This window comes from Homo sapiens, chromosome 14 (assembly GCF_000001405.40).
Source record: "Homo sapiens chromosome 14, GRCh38.p14 Primary Assembly".
Lineage (NCBI taxonomy): Eukaryota > Metazoa > Chordata > Mammalia > Primates > Hominidae > Homo > Homo sapiens.
Genome location: NC_000014.9, coordinates 22067886 through 22093221, shown reverse-complemented (window position 1 = coordinate 22093221; position 25336 = coordinate 22067886). Strand labels below are relative to the sequence as shown.

Sequence of the window (25336 nt, the reverse complement as noted above, 5' to 3'; positions counted from 1 at the left end):
ATATTTCAGTCCAATGAAAGCCACTCTAATCAGACATAAATACTATTCCAATTTCTTCTTCGATTTTTCAAACTGCTAAAAAAGGAAGTAAAATAAACTTTGAGAGCCCAGGGGAGTTAATATTCACAAAATGCTGACATTTTGTGGCCACATCTCCCATTGCTAAGAGGTAACTAATTGGATTTTTTTTCCACATCCTCTTTTTAATATATTGAAAATGTATGCATTGTGGTTCAGGGGAAAGAGTCTTGGGTTGTTTATTTCAGGTTGAACATCCTTTTATTCATAAATTAGAGATTTTTTCCAATTGATGTTTTATTGCCATTTATGTGGCCTACCAGAAATACATCTGGCAAAGTTGTAGGTAATGAAGGTGCTATTCTCTTCTGTGGACTGGTGAAGATAGTAAAAACTATGATTGTCGCTATCCATTTAAAAATTATTTTTTAAATTTATGAAATAATTATCATGAGCAAAAGTACAGAAAATTATATAGCAGGCACCTTCGTATCCAGCAATGAGAATAAACACATAAACAGATGATGAATTTTGCTATGTTTTCTAAAAATATTCTTTCTCTCTCTACATTTCAGATTTTCTCAAACATTTCAGACAAAGCTAGAACAATAGTCCTTGTTCCTTTTATTCTTTCAAAGATAGTAACCACTCTTGGGAAGTTTCCACGCATGTCTTTTAAAATTTAACCCTTACAGGCCGGGCACGGTGGCTGACGCCTGTAATCCCAGCACTTTGGGAGGCCGATGTGGGCAGATCACGAGGTCAGGGTATCGAGACCATCCTGTCTAACATGGTGAGACCCCGTCTCTACTAAAAACACACACACACAAAAATTAGCCGGGCGTGGTGGCGCTCCCTTTAGTCCCAGCTACTCCGGAGGCTGAGACAGGAGAATGGCGTGAATCCAGGAGAGGGAGCTTGCAGTGAGCCGAGATCGTGCCACTGCACTCCAGCCTGGGCGACAGAGCAAGATGCCGTCTCAAAAAAAAAAAGAATTTAACCATTACAGGTATGTATTACAAAACAATATACTGCATTATTTTGTATTTTAAGATTTCTTATTAATGGTGCCATGCAGTATGTATCATTCTGCTTTTACATCCAACATTTTATTTGTAAGATTCATCTAAGAAAATATGTATAGAACCACTTCTTTGCTTGTAATGGCTAATACTTCCATTGTATGACTAAACCACTATTTTTTATTCCACTATTGATTATACTTTTTTTTAATGAATGTATTGTATTTTTTTTATTATACTTTAAGTTCTAGGATACATGTGCACAACGTGCAGGTTTGTTACATATGTATACATATACCATGTTGGTGTCTGCACCCATTAACTCGTCATTTACATTAGGTATATCTCCAAATGCTATCCCTCCCCGCTCCCCTCACCCCACAACAGGCCCCGGTGTGTGATGTTCCCCTTCCTGTGTCCATGCGTTCTCATTGTTCAATTCCCACCTATGAGTCAGAACACGTGGTGTTTGGTTTTCTGTCCTTGCGATAGTTTGCTGAGAATGTTGGTTTCCAGCTTCATCCACATCCCTACAAAGGACATGAACTCTTCATTTGTATGGCTGCATAGTATTCCATGGTGTATATGTGCCACATTTTCTTAATCCAGTCTATCATTGATGGACATTTGGGTTGGTTCCAAGTCTTTGCTATTGTGAATAGTGCCGCAATAAACATACGTGTGCATGTGTCTTTATAGCAGCATGATTTATAATCCTTTGGGTATATACCCAGTAATGGGATGGCTGGGTCAAATGGTATTTCTAGTTCTAGATCCTTGAGGAATCGCCACACTGTCTTCCACAATGGTTGAACTAGTTTACACTCCCACTAACAGTGTAAAAGTGGTCCTGACTTTTTAATGATTGCCATTCTAACTGGTGTGAGATGGTATCTCATTGTGGTTTTGATTTGCATTTCTCTGATGGCCAGTGATGATGAGCATTTTTTCATGTGTCTGTAGGCTGCATAAATGTCTTGAGAAGTGTCTGTTCATGTCCTTCGCCCACTTATTGATGGGGTTGTTTTTTTCTTGTGATTATACTTATTTTTAAAGAGGGTTGCAGTGAGCATCCTTGTAAATGCCTCCTAGTTTACATTTTGACTACCTTTATGTAGATATCAGAAATTTGTATTGCTGGATTATTAGATATGTGCAAATTCATAACTAGTTTAGGCAAATTGTTATCCTAAATTCTCTGTGTGGTGTTTTTCTTCATCTGGAAAAGTGTAACAGCTTCATCTCCATGTATTCCTACCAATACTTAATGTTACCAGATATTTTAGATTTTGTTGATCAAATAGAAATGAAACAATAATTTATTTTAATTTGATTTCCTCGAGTTCTGTGGAAGTTGATGTTTTACATATTTAGTGGCCATTCCTATTTCTTCTTTTTGAATTGCCTTTTATATCCTTGTCTCTTCTTATTTTGAATGTTTTCTTATTTATTTGTAAGAGTTCCCCATCTAACCTTAATTTCTAAAATCTTATTGGTTATATTATTTACAGATGCATCCAGCATGTGTCTTGTTTTTAATTTTGTAGTGGGCGCACATGCAGGTTAAAAATTTCCCTTCTATTACTAAATCTTTAGGGATTTTCATTTCCAATTATCAAATAATTTAATGGTTATAAATCTACTTAGTTTTTCTATTTCTTCTTGAGTTACTTTTGGTAGTATATGTTTTTCATTCAAATTGTTTCTACTTTTTAAAGTTTTAAAATTTATTGGCTTAAATTGTACTTAACTTATGCTAATTTTTTTTTAATTTCTACTTTATCTCCAGACATGTCTCCTTTTTAATCTCTCCTATTATTGAATTTATTAGTCTCCTATTGTGGCTATAAGAAATTACCACAAAATCAGTGGCTTAAAACAGCACACATTTATTATTTTGCAATTCTGGAGATCTTAAATCCAAAATCAGTTTCACTGGACTAAAGTCAAGGTACCAGCAGGTCTGAGTTCCTTCTGGTGGCTATGGGGAATAATCTGTCTTTTTTCTTTTTTTTTTTTTTTTTGCCTTTTCCAACTTCGAGGCTGTTCTCATTCTCTCATCACATTGCTTTCTTTCATTCCAAGTCTACTGCCTCCCTTTTATAGAGATCCTTGTGATTCCACTGGGTCTGCCTGGATAATTGAGGATAAATCTTCTCATTTCAAGATTTTTGAATTAATCATATATGTAAAGTTCCTTTCACTATATGTTATTCGGTTAAATTGTATCCCCAGAAAATTCATATGTTGAAGTTCTAACCTCTAGAAGCTTAGAATGTGAACTTTTTTGGAAATAGGGTCATTGCCAATGTCATTAGTTAAGTTGAAATGAGATCCTACTGGAGTAGTGCGGGCCCTTAGTCCAATAAGACTGGTGCCCTTATGAAAAGAATGTCACGTGAAGAGACAGAGACACAAACAGAGGAAAGATGATGGGAGGAGACACAGGGAGGACATGACCATCTCTAAGCTAAGGGATGCTTGTGACCATCAGATACTCGGAACGAGGTCTGAAACAAATCTTCCCTAGCGCCCCAGAAGGAGCATGGCTCTGCAACACCTTGGTTCCAGACTTTTGGCCACTAGAACCAGGAGACAGTAAATTTCTGTTGTCCTAAGCCACCCAGTCCACGGTACTTTGTTACTGCAGCCCTAGAAAACTAATATACCATGTGAAGCAGCATATTCATAGACTCTGGGGTTTTTGACATGGACATCTTTGGGGGCCAGAATTCAGCGTACTGCATTGTTTAACTATTTTCTATTTTCCTCATTATCAACATTATCGAGTATTTAACTCTTTTATTTCTTCAAATTTATTCGGCATTGGATTTTCCCCTAATTGTTTTGTTTTTGTTTCCTATTTGATTAATTTCTGTAGTTTATTTTTAATTGAAGTATAATTGATATAGTGAAATAAACAAGTCATAAGTATGGAGTTAGATGAGTTTTGAAAATTGCAAACAGCCTTGTAAACCACACCCCTATCATGAAATAGAACATTTCTTTTCCTTTAGCTTATAAAAATTCATTGTGCTCCACCCAAATAATTCCCACTCACAGATGTAATCACTGTTTGGCTTTATTTCACCGTGGATTAATTTGTCTACTTTAGAAATTCACATAACTTGAATCAAACAGTATATACCCTTTTGTATTTGGCAATTTTGCTAGGCATTATATAATCTAGGCTTGTTTGTACTGTTATGTGTATCAGTGGTTCAGGCCATTTTATTGCTGATTAATATTCCATTGAATGTGTGTGACACAAAAATTTATTGATTTAGTATCTTGTTTATGGGTGTTTTCTCAAATTGATGGCTATTATGAATAAAACTGTTGTGAACATTCTTGTACAAGTCTTTGTGTTGACACATTTTTATTTTTCTTGGGTAAATGCCTAGATGTGAGTCACTGGGTTGTGGTAGAAACGCATTTAGTTTTATGAAAATCCACCAAAGTGGTTGCCCAGTTTATGTTCCAACCATGTTCTAAAATTCCACATTCCAAAATTTTATATTCCAAAAATTTGTAAATGTTTGTTAAAAATCTTTTTTCTACATCCTTACTTTTTATTTTGAAATAATTTTAGACTCACGTAGAAGTTGCAAAAATAACGCAGAGTTCTCTTGCACATTTCACCCAGCATTCTCTAATGATAACATTTTACATAACCATAGCTATGTACCATTATCATTATGTACTAGTATCAAAACCAGAAAATTGATATTGATACAATAGTATTTATTAAACTACAGATCTTATTCTGATTCACCCTTTTTTTTTTTGCTTAAAGAACTTTTATTATTATTATTATTATACTTTAAGTTTTAGGGTACACGTGCACAATGTGCAGGTTTGTTACATGTGTATACATGTGCCATGTTGGTGTGCTGCACCCATTAACTCATCATTTAGCATTAGGTATATCTCCTAATGGTTTCCCTCCCCCATCCCCCACCCCACAACAGGCCCTGGTGTGTGATGTTCCCCTTCCTGTGTCCATGTGTTCTCATTGTTCTATTCCCACCTATGAGTGAGAACATGCGGTGTTTGGTTTTTTGTCCTTGCGATAGTTTGCTGAGAATGATGGTTTCCAGTTTCATCCATGTTCCTACAAAGGACATGAACTCTTCATTTTTTATGGCTGCATAGTATTCCATGGTGTATATGTGCCACATTTTCTTAATCCAGTCTATTGTTGGACATTTGGGTTGGTTCCAAGTCTTTGCTATTGGATTCACCCATTTTTATATGCACTCTTTTTTTGATATATACTTCTGTGACATTTTATCATATGTATAGATTTCCCTAACAACTACAATCAGGATACAGAACTATTCCATCCATCACCCTAAATAAACTCCCTATATACACACTCCCCACCCATAACTTCTGGCAACCACTGTCCTGTAATTTTTACATATTGATAGTGTTATATAAGGGAAATCACACATTATATAGCCTTTGAGATTGACTTTTGTTCACTCAACATAATGCCCTTGAGATTCATCAAAGTTGTTGCATGCATCAATAATTCATGTTTTTTATTGATGAATCATATTCCATTATGTGGGTATGTGCCACAGTATATTTAACCATTCACTCAATGAAGCATAAAGTTCTGAGATCCGTCATGTGTTACCTGTATCACTAGCTTATTGCATTTTATTGCTCTGTAGTATTCCATTATAGGAATAGTCCACAATTTATTTTTCTATTCCCCAGCTAATGGACATTTGGGTTGTTTCCAGCTTGGGGCTATTATGGTTAAAACTGCTGTAAACAAAAGTCTTGTGTGAAGATATATTTTCATTTATTATAGATAAATACTTAGGAGTGGAATTTCTGGTCCTATGTTAAGAGCAATTTATAAGAAACTGGCAAATGATTTTCCAGTGTCATAATACTGATTTGCATCCCATCAGCAAGGCATAAAATTCCCAGTTGCCCCAAAACTGGCTGGATGCTTGTAACAATTTCAAATACTGTAACTATAATAAAACATTTGTTAGAGATGGTCATTTATTAAGCTAAGTTTCTTTTCTTTAATTACCATTCTCATACTGCCACACTAGTGTTTATACATTTATTTATCACTTGCATATGCAGATGAAAACTAGGCTACATCTCTGCCTACGTAAGCTCCCACTGTGGGGTTTGGCTGGAACCTCAACTGCAGGTTTGGGTACAGGCTTCAGGTGCCTGGGGAGCACTGTGTGCTTGCTGCACAGAAGTAGGTGGCTGAGTCTCCAGGCTGGGAATCCATGATATGCGATGAGAACTGCTTGGCACTTTTATTGAAGGAGATTGTGAATCTTCCTTCTTTCTTTTCACTCACATCTGGACGTATGGCTATCAATAATGCAGGGCCTTTCCCAGGGAATTGTTGGTACCATGGAAAGTAGTCAAACGCAGTGTTCTCATAAGCACAGTTTATAATTGAAATCCCTCCTTTCTGGACTATCAAAGATTGAGGACTTTGTTTCACCTGCTGCTGGTCACTTTTCTCCTTCTGTTGGCCACTCACCCCTGCTTAGAGAGATAACAAAATGTCATTAGGCCCCAAAATAATATTTTCTTCTTAAAGTGTCTACCTGCATGAGTTTGTCTGTACCCCAATTTTCTCATTCACCCAAGTTAGTAACATATCCTGGAGTTTCTCTTCCATAACTCACAGCATAGTTGAAGCCACAGAACTAAAAATGATGCTCCTAAGATCTTGTCCATTCCTCCTGGCACCAGAGCTCAATGACAGCCCAGGTGGTCTTCCAGTCTTCCCAACCAGCTGAAACTCTGTAAATTCACCCTCAACTGAATTCTTTCAGCAGGCCCCGCCCTTTCACAAGTGCTTTCACTTAAAGCTGTCTCTGTCAAAGGAAGCACTTCCCCACTTTGTCCAAATTTAGAATTGCTGAAGATATATTCATTGGGAATCAGTAATCCTTTCTTTACACACAGATAAGCATCAGTTTAGAATTTCTGTCTGTCAAGCCCCCTCAACTTTTCCTCAGACCTTTAAGATGGCTGGATATGTCAATAGAAAGGGCCTTATTTTACAATGGTAGAAGAGAGGAACTCTTGTGAAACCGCACGATTAACATGTACAGTGGCATTTCTTTTTTATTGTGAGTATTAATAAAGTTTATTGAGGGCACACAATGGGCATAATACCCCATTACAAGCTAAGGTCATGAATCAGAACATAGAGAATATATGGTCCCTTTGTCCTCAGAGAACTTAAATTTTGTTGCAATTTTTCAGATGTATTCATTCCATATTTTAGATGATCCTCAGAAATGATATAATACAATTAAGTCAATTTTATTTTTTCTCCATATTTTTTTCTAAATTACACATTAGGTAAATTAAATATTTTTTTAAATGTACCTAGAAAAAGAAAATAGGAAATACTGGAATTATCTGTTCTGGAGGAGCTGTGATCTTTAAATGGAAAGAGAGGATAGAAAAATTCTGCAGAAGATATAGATCTATAACCATCCGTAATGCAGTCATTTTTGGTGGCTCTTATCCTGAGTTTGAATAAACATTCGATATTTTATTCACACTTCAAAATCGATCAACTATGAAAATATAAAGAATAAATTTAACTTTTGATATTAACACAGGCAAGATACAAGGGAGAAATTGAAGATAAATTCTAAAGCACCCCTGAAATAGGGATGATCTGTATTATAAGTCATATAAGTTAAAATAACATGAGAAGCACATTTTTTTCAGAAGCACAAAAATGATTTTTTTGTATTTATATTTGGTGTCATCTCAAATCCACTCAAAGAAAACACCATCGCAGTCCAATAGGAGACAATGGTCCACGTTCCTCAATCTACAATCCAAACCTTTTCTTCCCCAGTACCCTAAGGTGCTTTTTAAAAGTTGTTTAAGTTTTGATGTGCTTTCTTTTCTTTTAATTTATATATGCATATATTCAATACATATATACTGTCCACAAAGTGCCTACTAAATTAGGCAGTACTTGGGCCTCATTTCATTCACGAAAGAGACACAGTCCAAGTCTTCAGTCAACCTAGTCCCAAGACTCAGGTATCAGCCAATGGAACCTGCCAAAGACACCAGTGTGTCTAGATGATGTGACGAAGGAAAGGGTGATGAAATCTGTTTCTGGACCCAGTCAAAGAAGAGTACGGATGGGGAGATGCTTGAACTGGGCCACAAACCATGATAGATTTCCCCATAAAAAGAATGGATAAGGGAATTTTAGGCACAGATTAGTGTGACTGGATATTGGGCTGTATGTGGGTGAAAACCTTGTAAAGTTATACTACAGAAGTTAATGTGGGCTTGAAGGATAACATGTATAATTCAAAAAAGTGTTGACTTCCAAAGTGATGTTTTCCACTCTGTTAGACTAGAATAAATACAGATACTAGTTAGGTAGATGAATGGATAAATGCATAGATGCATTGAATGAAAGAGACACGTGAATTGAAACAGAGTAGGAGATAATTTACTATTTTAAAAGGATAATCTCTGGCTAATTGCTGAATATGTGTATTTGGACAAATGTTAATCTTCTTTGAAGAAGCATTGCCCCCTTGTGGCCATATAGGGAGTTTACATCAAACAATTTCCTACAGCTTCTTAAAACGGTTCAGCAACCCCTACATCTATCAGAACACTGAAATAAGTGGCTCAGTCCTCCTCTTGAGCCAATGATTTCTTCAGATGAAAGGAGATTTTTGTCCTTGCTGAGGTCAGGTATGTCTCAGGCGGATCTGGAGGAATTGATTGGGATGCTGGAGGTACCAGGAGAGAACAGGGCTACTGAAACAGTGACACCGCAACTGCTCTGGGGTTCCTTCAGAGGCAGAAACTGGCCGTCAGATGGAGTCACTTCATGGGATCTCCTTCCTCACATAATGGCAACATCAGGTCGGGGAGAAGTCTTCGCACTAAAGAGAATATGTCCTTAAATAGATCTAACTTAGTTAATTACACTTCATCTTTGTCAACACTTGGTATAGTAGTCATTTTTTCACTTTTAGCCAACATAGTGGCTATATAGGAGCATATATATAGCATATATAAAGAGCATATATATTATATAACATATATATAGCATATATATTATATAGCATATATGCTCCATATAGTGGCTATATATTTTATTACAGTATTAACTTGCACTTCCCTGATTATTAACGACATAAGAGTCAGTAGACTTTTTCTATAAAGGGTTGAATAGTAAGTATTTTAAGCCTTGCAGGTGATTCAGTCTCAATGGCAACTACTCAGTTCTACCGTTGCAGCATGAAAGAAGCCATTGATAACACACTAAAAAAACCCAAGCATCTCTGTGTTTAAATAAAGCTTTATGAAAATAGGTGGATGGCTGAATTTGGCTCATGGGCCATATTTTGTTGACTCCTGATGTAGAGCATCTTTTCCTGTGTTTATTGGTCATTTTTATTTTTTTATTGTGAAGATTCTACGAAAATATTTTGTTAATTCTTAAATTGGGCTATTTCTTCTCTTTTATTGAGTTGTAAGAGCTTTTTACATATGCTGTACACAAGACTTTGGAATAATTTACATGTTTCAAATAGTTTCTTCAAGTCAATGGCCTTTATGTTTTCTTAAAGATGTCCATGACCTCTGCACTGAAAAGTCCAAAAACAATGCTGACAAAAATTAAAGAACCTTAATAAATTGACAGATATGTCATGTTCATGAATTAGAGGATTTAATAGCTTCCAGATGGCAGTTCTACCCCCAATTTTCTGTAAGTGCAATGCAATATCACTCAAAATTTTAGCAGGCCTTTTTATAGAAATAGACCAACTAATTCTAAAATTTATATGGAAATGCAAAAAATAAACCTTAATGAATAACTAAAACAATTTTTTTTTTTTCGAGACCTAGTCTCGCTCTGTCGCCCAGGCTGGAGTGCAGTGGCGCGATCTCGGCTCACTGCAAGCTCCGCCTCCTGGGTTCACGCCATTCTCCTGCCTCAGCCTCCCGAGTAGCTGGGACTACAGGCGCCCGCCACCACGCCCGGCTAATTTTTTGTATTTTTTAGTAGAGACGGGGTTTCACCGCGTTAGCCAGGATGGTCTCGATCTCCTGACCTCGTGATCCGCCCGCCTCGGCCTTACAAAGTGCTGGGATTACAGGCGTGAGCCACCGCGCCCGGCCACTAAAACAATTTTTAAAGGGAACACAATTGAAGGACTCACCCTGCCTGATCTCAAGACATTATAAAGAACAGTAATCAAAACAGTTTGGTATTTGTGAAAATAAAATTTGTAGATCAAAGAAACAAAATAGAAATAGATTCACAAATTCATATTCAATTAATTTTCAAGACAATTCAATGGGTTAAAAAAGTTTTCAAGAAATAGATGCAATAAAATAAAACGTGCTTGTATTTTAATGGATCTGGGCAAAGTAAATTGAAAAGCTTCTGGAAAGGATTCATACTCTAGATGACATTAAGAATATTCATGATTCATAAGAGGAGGTCAAAATATCAATGTTGTCAGAATTTGGAAGAAGATGATTCCAATCCAAATGTATGACTTCAAGAAGTTCAAGACTTTAGTGGAGAAAGTAACTGCAGATGTGTTAAAAATAGTAGGAGAACTAGAATTAGAAGTGGAGCCTGAAGATGTGACTGAATTGCTACAATCTCATGATAAAACTTTAACAAATGATAAATTGCTTTTTATGGATAAGCACAGAAATTGCTTTCTTAAGATGGAATCTACTTCTGGTGAAGATGCTGTAAACATTATTGAAATGACAACAAAGGATTTAGATTATTACATAAACTTAGTTGATAAAGCAGTGGCAGGATTTGAGATGATTAACTTCCATTTTTTTAAAAATTTTCTTAGTAGTTTTAAAAAGATTTTGAAATTAGGCTGGGCGCAGTGGCTCACGCCTGTAATCCTAGCACTTTGGGAGGCTGAGGTGGGCGGATCACCTGAGGTCTGGAGTTCCAGATCAGCCTGACCAACATGGAGAAACCCCGTCTCTACTAAAAATACAAAATTAGCTGGGCGTGGTGGCACATGCCTGTAAACTCAGCTACTCGGGAGCCTGAGGCAGGAGAATCGCTTGAACCCAGGCGGCTGAACCCAGGAGGCGGAGGCTGCTGTGAGCCGAAATTGTACCATTGCCCTCCAGCCTGGGCAACAAGAACGAAACTCCGTCTCAAAAAAAAAAAATAAAGATTTTGAAATCAATTTATTATAGTTGTATGTATTTTGGGGCATTTGTGATATTTTGATACATGTATACAATGTACAATGATCAAATCAGGGTTATTGGGATATCCACTATTTGAAACATTTTTCTTTTCTTTGTTTTGGGGAACATTACAATTCTCTTCTTCTAGTTATTTTGAAATATACAGTAAATTATTGTTAACCATAATTTCCCTACTGTACTATCAAATAGTAGAATTTGTTTCTTCTAACTGTATTTCTGTAACCATTAACCTCCTTCTTTTTATCCTGACTCCAATTTTGAAAAAAGTTCTACTTTGAGTAAAATGCTATCAAACAGTGTTGCATGCTACAGGGAAACCTTTCATGAAAGTAAGAGTCAATTGATGTGGCAAACTTCATTTTTATCTTATTGTAAGAAATTGCCACAGACATTTCAACTTTTAGCAACCACCACCCTGATCAGCCACCAACATTGAGGCAAGACCCTACATTTGCAAAACAAGTAACAACTTTCTGAAGCCTGAGATGATAATTAGCATTTGTTAGCAATAAAGCATTTTTAAGTCGAGGTATGTACACTTTTATACATAATGCTATTGCATATTTAACAGACTGCAGTATACTTTAAACCTTTATGTGTGCCAGGAAACTAAAAAAAATATATGCCTTACTTTATTGTGATATTCACTTTACTATGGTGATCTGGAACCCTACCTACATTATCTCCAAGGTACATCTGTGTGTGTGTGTGTGTGTGTGTGTGTGTGTGTGTGTGTGTATGTATGTATCTTAAAAACCAGAACAGAATAGAAAAACAGCCTGCCAAGGAAGGTAAAAAGAATGAGAGGGGAAACAAAAGGTTAATTTATAAAACGAAATTCTTAGATTGCTTTACTAATCTAGAGTGAAAAAAATTAGATCTGAATCATTTTTCTAAATAAAAGATTAATACAATTACATTTTGAATGGAGATATAGGTCAATTGCTGGCATTGTCAGAACATTATGCCATTACTCTAAAATATACAGCATCTGCAGAAACTCTTTTGGCTACTAATATTTGGCTTGAAATCAGCAGATCTATTCAGGATAAGCATGTGCATATGGGCATAATTAATAATTATAAGATGGGGCTCTTCTATAATCTTCAGCCAAGCCAGATGTTAGTTCTTGGTGAAAAGCATTTTTCTCAAGGAAAAATATATACACAGACATATATTATGCATACATATGTACATATATACATTCATTAAGAGGAAGTCTGACTGTGCTACAATGCTGAGACTAATAAGTAAGACCATTTGTAGAAAAATTTGAAAATCCCCTATATATACACATATCTCCTATATGTATATTTAAAGTTAAATCCACTGATGTTGGAAGATTGTTTGGGAGATGGTTCCTACAATTAGAGAGGAGAATAGCTTGCCAAAATAGATAAAATCTGTTTTGATAAACGTGCTGCCCAAAGGAACTGGGGACTTATTTCAGTATTTGCAATATCTTTTTTTGTCCTCTAGTACCATAATATATATGCGGTTTTTAGATGAAGGCATAATTAATTACCTAAAAGTTTTATGCACTTAGTATATTATGTAAAATAAGAAGAAATATTTCTAGTATAGATTTTTTAATGGAATATTTTTGATAGCAGTGAAGAATCTTGTTGCTATGCTATGTGGGACACAATCACCCTAAATGTAATCCACAACTGCTTTGAAATAGCTGATTTTGGAATCAGTGACTTCAATGATGTACAAAGCAATAAACATCACTATTCTGGCTGGAATGATCTGCAGAGAGATTCATTTTCTTATAATACTAAATGTTGATTTTATAAGTTCTGATAGCATGTTAACTATTTCTGCTGATGCTGAATATCATTTCAAACAAGAATAAATATCCTTTATGTTAGGTTTGTTTTGAGCATTGAAGAAAAATAGTAAGAAAAGTTGTCCAAGTCCAAATGTCCCACAAGAAAATATACTTTGGCAGCTGTCGAAGGATTTGACACTACTCAATGTGTGAAATACAAAGACCATGTGCATTTATTGGAAATAATAGCAAAGGAGACCTATGAAAATCAGACACAATCTTGCTGAGCACAACAGACAGCTGATTTATACTGGGTTTTGGGGAAGCATGGAATTCAGGGATTGGCAAACTTCAGAGGTGTAAATGAGTTAACATTATCTGCAGAAACAGAGTCACTAGGGTGAGGCTATTGCTGATTGCTTGGCACTCAGGGGCACTGACTGGCTGACTTTCAGAAGCCAGGAGCTGACATTGATTAGTTGGCTTGCAAAAGCATGTTCATTGAGACGAGTTGTTAATCAGTTGAACAGGTATAAAACTGGTTCTGGTGGCTACTTATTATGGCTGTGTAACAATCTATCTTTTCCTAAATCTATGGGAATAATTTTATTTTCCTCCCCTCTCCCCACCCCCCATCCCCTTTTGGTCCTTATGCAGCCAAAGCTGCAGAAAAGATGTTCAAGAACTGTCCAGGTCTTCTCCACTATTGTCGATTTTCTTGACAAAGAGTTTTGGCCTGTAGAGATTTGATTTTTAGTTTGTATATTTAAAAGCATGACTTTTATTGAATTTTTGTCTTTGGATTACTTGTTCAACCATTTGTGGGGACAGTGATATTTAGAATACCAACAGAGCCATGCAACAAATGAACAAATCTGAAGTATTAAATATTATAAAAAGGGTAAGATATTTTGCAACCATGATCCAAGATTTCCCAGACTTGATTAAAAAAAAAAAGTCCAAATGATTTTCTGAGTCTATCTTACACAACTAGGTTGCTTTTTATCTATGTCTCATCTATGTATCTATCTACCTATCTGTCTGTCTATCTATCTATCTATCTACCTATCTATCTATCTATCATCTATCTATGCTAAAAGTGTTTTTACTCATCTTCAGTATTAACGTAGAGTCAACATGAAGTATTAGCAATGACAAAGATCACTTCCTGATTGGCCCCACAAAAATATGTGACTATTCTACTACACATAGGCCTTTGGATTAAGAAATTTTAACTGGCTTGCTGTGATTCCAAGATTTTGGATATACTACTATATTTATTGTATTAGCTAATGTGAGAAAATACTTTTTGATAACCACTGCAAATTGTTTAATGATATGGATGGTGTCACTACCCTCAGGAGTTTTTCTTCAGAAAGATTTTCGTTGCTTTATGATTTTTGTAAAATAATGTGCTCCACTGAGGATTGTTGGGGGTCATGCCCTTAAAATAGCCTAATGAATAGACCTACAGAAGGATTGGCCTTGGCTCTGTTTTGGCCATGAAGAGACTGATTCCCAAACAGAAAACAGTTCCCAGTAGCTGTAGGTATGAAATGAAAATTCCATTTTGAATGGAACTCAAATGGAATTCATTCTTGACAAATAATGACCATCATATGTTATACTTTTTGTAATGTAAGGACTTTTTTCACCTATGGATTGCCTACAAAGACTATCACTATTGGTAGTGTTAGTGTACCATACCCTTTTATCACTTTTCAAATTGGCTGTAATAACATTAGCTTTGGAGAGTTGAGTGAATTAAGTTGATGATTGTTGTCTCTAGTAAAGACTAGACTTAGGCAAGTTATTATTAATCATAAAAGGAACATAATAGGCAAAGTCAGAGTACCTAACTTTAAGTAAAGAAAAAATATGAATGAACAAGAGTATCCAAAGGAAAGTGAGGCATAGAGAAGTCTCATATTCCAACAGTGTTGGTGTATCAACCACATCTTTTTACCCAAATGTTTTGACATCTAAGGGCCTTAACCATCTCTGGCTAATTCCTAGAGATAGTAAAGACTCACTTGGGAGCACATCTTTCAAATGCAAACCAACCGATATAGAGCCCATACTCCAAGCACCTCCTTTATCAGGCTGTCACTAGGCTCCTACACTCCATCCACTATTCCCCCTGCCCTAAGCATCCCATGGCCAGGTACCAGGCAACTAGGGATAGTCCTGGCCTCAGAGCCCACCGAAATTATTCAAACTAGGCAATCCTAGACTTGTTTATTCTACCTCACTCCATCCTTCCTACAAAAACTATGATTTAAGAAAATATAGTGTTCCTGTTTTTCATCTTTAATACTCTCAGAATACATGCTTATTTTATGATGGTGATACATGACGTGTTTGAATAATTATCTCTGTGGCAGGTTTAGGATCAAAACAAGATGGCAGCTTCACCTTTATTTCTCAATGGAGAAAGTCAAAGAAAAGTTGAACTTCTGATTATCTTCTGTTTAGGCCTGTTCTATGTGATAACATCATGAATGGGAGGCTGTGACTTTCAGAATTGCAATATGAGGAGGTTCATGGTTACTCTCCCTAATTAGTAACAAAACACTATTAATTGGTAAAAATTATTTTAAAAACTTAAGTCTCTGGAAATTGTCCTGGGTATATAGCAAATGGAGAATTATCTATTCAGGAAAATTTACTAAATCACCATAAGAACAAAATCCTTGGAATTTGAGCCATGACTACTACTTCCCCCACCACACAGAGCTCAGCATAATAGAAACTCTACTTCGGGTGGGAGCAACCAAGAATACAGGGCTCCTTCTTCCCTCAGATTCCAGTGTTGAGCTACGATATCTGCCTGGGAGGGACAGTCTGCCAACAATTCTCATCTTCCTCAATTTTGTATTGCAGAAGTCCTATTCTGGGCCAGGGAAGCTGAAAGGCCTAGGGCTCCTTTTCACTTCCTAGCACCTACTGTTAGGGCAGAAGCTCTACCCTGGCATGGCAGACCAAGAATACTGGGTCCTTATTTCCCTCACCCCAGCTTGCTCATAAGGTGGAGGTTTCATACCGGGGGAGGCAAACAAGAAGACCATGGGATACTGCCCCCATCAAGCACCTTGCTCCTAAAGTAGGGTTATCACTCTGAGGAAAGAAAAGCAATGTCTCTTCTCACATTGCTCCAGAGCAGGGGCACAGAAGTTGTGCCCAGGGAGAGGAGGAGTTATAAGAACAGAGAGCTCTCCACTAGGAAGACTCTATTTGGAACAGAGCTTCAGGAAGTCCAAGCCTTAAGGGTACAGTGGAAATGAATGAAGATTTTTGTGGTAAGCAATTAAGAGGAGGCTGGTAGCTCCACGAGAGCAACAAACTAAACCACAGATGACTAGCTAAAAATCTAATAGAGAGAACCGGGAATAAAGACAGCTGGGAAGAGTCCTCCTGAGGTTATAAGAAGCTTCAAAGATTGACCTCAAAGATTACCTCTGCAAAGGGGCCTGAATTTAATTGAACCAGACTATGGATAAGTGTGGAGGCTCATGGCTAAGTGTGATACAAACAGATGCAGGTAGTTTAACAGAAAAATCAGGAAGAAAGACAGTTAAAGAAAACACTGCTGAAACCACCGTCATATCAAGATGTCTGTGCACATACCAAAGACTGTCCTCTGAGGAATAACATCATAGGCTGCACCCTGCAGGAAAATGGACTTAACTGAAATAGTCAAGTAAAGTTGTTACAATAAATAAACAAGCAAATAACAACAAGCCCTGGATGGGGTAGAGACACAATATCCAGAGTCACTATATGTGATAGCCTGGATTATCATCCCCAAAGATAACCAAGCCCTAATGCCTGGTACCTGCAAATGGTACCTTATATGGCAAAAATGTCTTTGAATACATTATTAAGGATCTTGAGATGGGAAAAATATTTTGGATTATTTGAGTGGACCCTAAATATAATCACAAGTGCTCTTATAAGAGGGAAACAGGGGAAGATGTGGCTCCAGAAGAGAAAGGAGATGTGATGATGGAAGCAAAAGTTTAGAGTGATTCAAAAAAGAGCATGAGCCATGAATTCAGGTGGACAGCAGAAGCTGGAAAAGGCCAGGAAGCAGATTCTCCCTGAGAGCCTCCAGAAGAAATCAGCCCTGCCAACACTTTGACTGTAGCCCTGTAAAACTGGTTTCAGATTCTTGCTTCCAGAACTGTAACAGAATAAATTTGTTTGGTTTTAAGCTACCAAATTTGCAGTAATTTGTTATAGCAGCTTTATTAGTTTGCTAGAGCTATAACAAAGTACCACAAGCTAGGTGACTTAAACAATAGGAACTTACTGTTTCACATTTCTGGAGAATGGAAGTCTGAGAGACTCCCTGTGAGGGCTACGAGAATCTACTCCATTCCTCTTGCCCAGCTTCTCGTGGTTTTCTGGCAATCTTTAGCATTCTTTGGCTTGTTGGAGTACCACCCTGATCTCTGCCTTCATCTTTAAATGGTATTCTCCCTCTGTGTGTGTGTGTTTCCAAACTTTCACTTTTTATGAGGACACCAGTCATATTAGATTAGTGTATTGGTCAGGGTTCTCCAGAACTAATAGGATATATGTGTATGTGTGTGTGTGTGTGTATGTGTGTGTATACATGTATGTACATACACACACACACACACACACACACACACACATATATATATATAAAACCTGGCCTTGTAATTGTGTGTGCCAATTCTCCCTAATAAACTTTATTTATTTATTTATTTATTATGGAGAATTGGCTCACACAGTTACAAGGCCAAGTCCCATGATAGGCCATCTGCAAGCTGGGGAAAAGAGAAGCTGGTAGTGGTTCAGTCCAAGCTCGAAAGCCTCAAACCAAAGAAGCCAGCAGTGAAGCATTCTGTCTACGGCCAAGGGCATGAGAGCCACCTGCAAGCCACTGGTGCAAGTCCCAGAGTCCACAGGCCAAAGAACCTGGAGTCTGATGTCCAAGTGTGGCAGGACTCCATAACAACTGTTTCGGTACTGACTGAGTGGTTAAGATAAATATTAAAAGCCAGTGCCCTTATACAAAGGCTGGAATGTAGCAAAAGCCCACCAAGAGTTTTGCCTGGGACTTTCCTGGGCTTTTAAGCATGACAAAATAAAGGAGTAATTCTTAACAGGGCCTCTTTAGGATTAAACAAGTTTTATAGGGGGTCTGAAGAAACTCGCTAGGCCTCCACAAACACATTTATTGGAGGTCTGAAGGAACTCCCCAAACCTCTGTGATTTGGCAGAAGACCAGATAAGGCTAATCACCCCAGCACCTAAACCCATTTAGGTTAAATAAACTTACTGAGACTCTAGAAGAAGGTCTTCAGGACTCAGACCTTAGTTATAAATTAAAAGAAGTTAATCATTTATGTCTTTAAATGAATGCACACTTACATGTAGACATATAACTTAGAAGGTATATAAAACTCTGAAAAAACTTTGTAATTTTGAGTTAGTCTGGCAATAATTTCCGGGCCATGTCCCTGTAACTGACTACAGAAATAAAAACTCTCTTCCTCCCCAGTTCATCTGCATCTCGTTATTTGTCTGTAAAAAAATAGCAGCCCAAACCTCAGTTTGGTCCAGGAACGCAAGGACAAGAGAAGCAGAAGGAAGCCTCCAGTATGGGAGAAAGTAGGCAGCCAGAAGCCTCCCACCTTCTTTCACCTGCTTTGTTGTAGCTGCGCAGCCTATTGGATGGTGCCCACCCACAAAGAGTGTGGGTCTTCCTCTCCCAGTTCACTGACTGAAATGTCAATCTCCTCTGGCAACACCATCACAGACACACCCAGAAACAATGCTCTACCAGTTATCCAGGCATCCTTCAGTCCAATCAACATAACACCTAACATTAACCATCACAATTAGGGTCCATTCTTATGACTTTATCTTAACTAATTACATCTGCAATGACCCTATTTTCAAATAAGGTCACATTCTGAGGTACTGGGAGTTAGGATTTCATCTTGAATTTTGAGAAACACAATTCAACCCATAAGAGCAGCCATAGAAAACTAATATAATATGTTATCTAAAATGTCTAGTTTAAAACAAAAAATTATAAGATATACCCCAAACAGGAAAGTGTGATTCTTACACAAGAGAAATAAATTGGGTAATGGCAACTTCCTTTTCTATGACTTAGATGTTGGATTTCACAGACAAAAATTTCAAAATAGCTGTTTTAAGTATGCTCAAAGAAATAAAACCATGCTGAGGGAAGTAAAAAAGATATGATGATGACTTCTTATCAGCCAGAGAATATCTATAAAGTGGTAAAAATTATTTTTTTATGAAAGGAACAAAATAGAAATTCTAGAGTTGGGAAAGTGCAATAACCAAATAAAAAAATTGACTGGAGGGTCAAACAGTAGGTTCGGGCTCCCTGAACAAGGAATCAGTGAACTTAAAGATACATCTACAGAGATTATGCAATCTGAAAAACAGACAGAAAAAAGAATAAAGAAAAATAAACAGGGACTCAGAGAAACGTGGTACATCATTAAGCACACCAATATACGCATAGTGAGAGTACCAGAAAAAGGAAAGGAAGAAAAAGGAACAAAAAAATTTGAAGAAACAATGGCTGAGAATTCCCAGATTCAAAAAAGCATTAATCTACTCATCTAAGAAGCTCAGTGAACTCTAAGTAAAATGAATGCAAAGAGATCCACACTCAGACACATCATAGCAAAAATGTTAAAAGACAAATAGAATCTTCAAAGTAGAAAGAGAAAATCAAATATTTATGAGAGAAACTCAATAAAATTAACAGCTGACTTCTCAACAAAAACAACAGAGCTAGAAGGCAGTGGGAAGATATATTCAAAGTGCTGAAAGAAATATACCATCAATGAAGATCCTATATTCAGCAAAAGTATCTTTCAGACATGAAGGTAAAATAAAGACATTCCTAGATAAATACAAACTGAGAGAATTTATTGCAAGCAGACTCACCTTCAAGCAATAATAAAGGAAGATCTTCAGGCTGGGAGCAAGGGACTTCAAACAGTAATTTGCATCCACACACTTACTAAAAAGATAGTGTGACTGCATATTTATCCCCTTTCTACTATTAACTGATTTAAATAACTACTGTATAAAACAATACATATATAATTATATTATTGGACTTACAGGAATGTAACATATTTGATAATAAAAGAATAAAGGAGGAAGGCAGATTGCAAAACTATATTGGAGTAAGACAGTGACACCAGATGGCAACTTGAATCCACAGGAACAAATGATCACTTCTTGACCTTTTGGCTATGATTAAGTGCACAGGAACAAATGAAGAGACCCAGAAATGATAAGTAAGAAGGTTAACAACAAACACTTCAATATATATTTGCTTTCCTTTTTTCCTTCTCAGCTTATAAAACATAAGATTATATAAAGAAATAATTATAAAATTATATAAAAATTATAATAACCTATTGTTTGTAACATATATACATATAATGTGAATAACAATAATAAAGGGAATAAGAAATAGACCTATATAGAAGTGACATCTGAAAATCCCATTGGAGTTAAGTTAGCATAAAGTCTGAAGTGAATTCTGACAAGTTTAGATGTATATATATTGTAAGTACTAAAACATCCACCAAGAAAATAATTGAAAAAGCATAGTGAAAAAAATAAAGGAATGAAAATATTATACTATAAAATATTCACCTAATGCAAAGGAAAGCAGTTAAGGAGGTACAGAGGAACAAAAAAGACATAAGACAGAAAGAAAATAAAATTAAAATGCCAGATATAATCTATATCAATGATAACATTAAATGTTAATGGATTAAACAATCCAATCAAAAAGTAGAGATTATCAGAATGGCTACACACACACACACACACACACACACACACAACTATACACTGTCAGAGACACACTTTAGATACAAAGATACAAATAAGTTGAAAGTAAAAGGATAGGAAAAGATATGACTGGAGTCACTACATTATTATTAGACAAAGTATACTTTAAACCAAAAAATGTTACTAGAGATAAAAAGGGAAATTTTATAATGATAAAAGGGCATCCATTAAGAATATATCAGTTATAAACATATATGCACCTAATGACATATCCCAAAATACATGATGCACAAAAACTGACAGAATTGAAGGGAAAAACAGAAAATTCAAGAATAACAGGTGAAGACTCAATACCTCACTTTCAATAATAGATAGGACAAATAGAATACCAACAAGGAAATAGAAGACTTGAACAACACAAAAGCCAGGTAGACCTAACAGACATCTATCTACCCAAGATCAGATTACACATTCTTCTCAATCATGCATGGTTATATTTTCCAGGATAGATCATATTCTAGGTTATACAACAAGCCTGAAAAACACATATGGGAACATAACATTTTAAAGTTTTTTCTCCACAGCTATTTATCAATATGTGAATATTTAAAGAAATTTTACTTTGCTGCACTAGTGGGATAGTATGCAAATATTTGCCCTTGTCTGTTGGTACATAATGTGGTGAGGTAGACCTGAATGTGCTTGAGACACACAACTAAGCTGGATCACTGTCTAACTAATGTCTAACAACATGCTTATTGGAATGGTGTTTCTTTTCTTTTTATTCTTTTTACTTTTTACCCTTTTGGAGTCCTGCATACTGTCACTTAAATATTTATTTTGATTCTGTCCTCTTATCAGCTACTCTACTCCTTCCAAGTTAGATATTTATAGGGTAGGAGGAGGTGTGTATTGAAAAGGGAAAATAAAGACCAAAGTCTCAAACCTGTAGAGCCAAAAAGAATCTACGGTTAAAACTCTACCTATGTACAAAAGGAATATTAAGCTGTGCAAAATGCTGCTGCGGTGGCCTCGTGATGTGGTTGTTACTGGTAGAGGAACCGAGCCCGGATGAGGGTTTGTGTACAGGCCGCAGGTGCCTGGGGAGCACTGTGGCTCCACAGCACAGAAATAAACGCCTGAGTCTGTGGTCTGGGAAGAGGAAATGTACAATAAGCTGTAGCGTTCCGTAGCGACAGTCGTGGCGCTTAATCTTCCATTCTGTTTTGTCCCTGAGGGAATGTAAAACAGGTTGATGAGCTGTCCCCAAGGGTTTTGATGAAACCACTGCAAATTGTTCACAGAGTCAGAAAAATTGCACCGCAGCGTGGAATTGGCTCCCTCCTGGAGAATCAGGTCTGGAGGACTCTGCTCCACTTGTATTCCTCTCACACCTGGTCAGAAATGGAGAAAAAGTCATAGGTGATGGGCAGTTTAACATCTGAAGAATCCTGAAAATGCCCCCACAGGTTGTGTGAATAGAAAGACTGCATGACTTTTTAACTCCTTGCCCTTCCTCCCCTCAACAAGGCTGCAGCTGCTAAATCCTTTCAGATTCCCACCTTGGACAGCCCCAACTCACAGCAAACCTGGGCACTCAAGAGCCCCAGCAGAGCTCCCAATATCCTCTTCATGATGCTTTGCCTTCTTGCTCCGGGCATTTTCACCATAAGATATATTTAACTAAACCTTGGGGAGGTCGGTGTCATGACTTGGCTCTGGAACTGTTGCTGCTCCTGCAACCAATCAGCTCCACCCGACAAAGCCTGCTCACGCCCAGATGCTACTGAGTTTTTAAACAGCGTTCTGTGACAGGAAGCCCCACCCGCCGACTTAAACCTGGCTGAGAGCCGGGGTGGAAAGGGGTGGAGTGGAAGGGAAAAAGAAAGGTCATTATTCCGTAACCTGAGGGATGTTTTCTAATAATTCTGGATATAGTAAAGAATGTGAAAGATCCTGTGAGAAGGAAAGGGAGGGGCCTCCTCGGGAGGACAACGTGCCTCAACTGTAATACTAATTCGAGCCTGGAGAGGATCACAGAATGAGTGTCCACATTTTAAACCCCCAAAACAAGAATGTGTTCTGACAAGAAGGTCTTTATTAGCCAATTTAGGTGAAAGTCATTCCAGTCATGTAAAGTAATAAGAACATACATGTTATGTATTATATATGTAATAATTTTTATTATTAGAATATATGAAAAGTGTGGATTAGGACTCCTCTGAAATAATCAAGAATTGTGGTAAATATTGTTATAAGAAATGACCCTAGTAAGACTGTAAATTGTGAGAGAAAAAATAAGATCAATTCAAATTTTTTTCTACGTATTACCCTGGATGGGCAATATGTTTTATTTTTCTAATTCTTATTTTATACAAACTTCCTTTATAGCTTATCTTACAGTCCAGTAAATCTTTTTTCTTTTTTTTTCTGTCTTCCTTTTTTCCTTCCACTTTCTCCTATCATTACCTTCTGTTTCCATGTTCTTCCTTTTCTCTCTCTCTCTTTTATTTATTTACTTATTTATTTATCTATTTATTTATTTATTTTTGGTTGAGGGTAGGGGGTTCTAGTTACATGAAAGGGACAGAAGAATACTAAAGAAAAGATGGCTTTCAACAGTTTAGAAATAATTTTGGACCTGTGAAATAAAAGTTCATATTTTTTTCTTAGGAAATCTTAGGAAATAAAAATTTTTTAAAATCCGAATTCCCTTCTTTGGAATTCTCCACTTTCCCTTTTGCTGTATATGATTCTGTTTGATCCAGGATTTTCTGATAGATACAGATAAAGATAATAATATAAAGACAAAAATTTAAATATAGGTATATATATATGCATTTCAAATATAACCTAGAACTTGAATATTCATATGTCATTTATCTTGTTTTAGAGGACAGAGCTACAATTGAAAAGAATACTCAGCAAAAATATGTTTCTTATGTGCTGATAATGATTTAGTTTGTCCTTGCACATAATTATTCTTCCCTCTTTACTCTTACTGGCCCTCATCCTTATACTCAATATATTTCTCAAATCTTTCAACAACTATTCACTACTAGATCCTTCAGAGCCGTCCCTCAATTTAAGAGAAGCCTATATGCCTCCTGACGTGCTAAACCTTGAGAAAGACTACATCTTCCTCAGCATATATGGACAGCTCAGCCCAGCTGTCTTTTCCTAGGGCTGTACCTGTGGGTTGACATGAAACAACAGAAGTGTCCACAGAATGGAGAGTACCATAAATAGGGCCATGAGACCCCACGGTGGCTTTTATGAAGATAAATACTTTAAATGTAATTTTATGTAATTAGAACATCCATTTAATTCATACGTATGAACTGAAAAAATATGAGCTCACCAATTTGATTCAGTTATAGTTAAGTCAATATATTTAAGAGTGTTTGAGACCTTGGAAATTAAAAAAAAAAATGAATTGGATACGGTTTTTCCTTCAGAGAGCTTGTGATATAGTGAGGAGACAAACATCTCTCTGAATGTAATAAAGGTTTACAGGATATCATTTTTAAAAAGCATCCTTAAACACCACATGAGCACCAAGACAGTAACAATTATGTCAAACTTCTATTACAGGATGTGACTTGATGGGGGATGTGATGCTACATGCCTTCTGTGGAGGTGACGAGACTGGAGAGTAACAAAAGCAAAGATGGCAAACTTTGAAAAGTGACCCTTTGTTTTAAATACAAGAAGGACAGAAGATGAGCAAGGTTGTGGACAGTATGACCCTTAGACTCAGGCAAGAGCCCTGCCCAGAGCCTCATATTTTACAGGGCCACTCAATCACACAGACACACACACACACGCAAATGTACTGAAGAACACGGACTGTCTCTGTCACTCAGGACCGGGCACAATCTGTAACCTAAAAAACCACTAACACAATTTTTCAGATTTGAGAAAAATACTTCTTCACATACCTTGACCTTTGTCCTTTTCAAATATTAGAAATATTTGTGGGTTGTGCCACTGCTGCCATAGGAGGCAGACTCTGTTTATACGAAAATAATTTGTTTATGCTTTTCCCCCAGACTCCATCAATAATAATAATTATCTGTAGATGGATTTGGAGGTAAAGGGGATGAAAAATGAGAACACCTATATTTTCACTGAAGTAGAAATTAAAGTTCTGCAGGCACAACATTGGATTAACTGCTCAAGAACGTTCCAAATAGTTACTATTGGCACTGTGAGGAATGGTGTAGAAAAATAAGTAAATATGATCTTATAGTAGCTCAGGTTTTAGGTTTTGGAAGAACCTCCATACTGTTCTTCATAGTGGCTATACTAATTTACACTCCTACCAACAGTGTACAAGGGTTCCCTTTTGTCCATGTCCTTGCCAGCATTAACACTTTTTGTTTTTATATTTTTTGGTTCCATACTTCTTAATTGACTTCATATGACTCTGATTTGG

The 25336-nt window shown here is 36.7% G+C and overlaps 2 gene segments (V, D, J or C) and 1 further gene, besides 8 other annotated features; all 3 read right to left on the bottom strand.

The window, feature by feature from the left end:
* TRA (T cell receptor alpha locus) overlaps nucleotides 1-25336 on the bottom strand; it is a 930229-nt gene that overhangs the window by 458911 nt on the left and 445982 nt on the right.
* Nucleotides 6222-6230: a recombination feature (nonamer).
* Nucleotides 6231-6253: a recombination feature (spacer).
* On the bottom strand, nucleotides 6261-6770 carry TRAV23DV6 (T cell receptor alpha variable 23/delta variable 6). The segment is given in 2 exon segments: nucleotides 6261-6572; nucleotides 6719-6770. Coding segments are annotated over 2 exon segments (364 nt in total), but the record flags the coding sequence as incomplete, so codon positions are not given.
* Nucleotides 6565-6572: a sequence feature (TRAV23DV6 leader sequence).
* Nucleotides 6719-6770: a sequence feature (TRAV23DV6 leader sequence).
* Nucleotides 21975-21983: a recombination feature (nonamer).
* Nucleotides 21984-22006: a recombination feature (spacer).
* Nucleotides 22014-22532, bottom strand: TRAV22 (T cell receptor alpha variable 22). The segment is given in 2 exon segments: nucleotides 22014-22292; nucleotides 22481-22532. Coding segments are annotated over 2 exon segments (331 nt in total), but the record flags the coding sequence as incomplete, so codon positions are not given.
* Nucleotides 22285-22292: a sequence feature (TRAV22 leader sequence).
* Nucleotides 22481-22532: a sequence feature (TRAV22 leader sequence).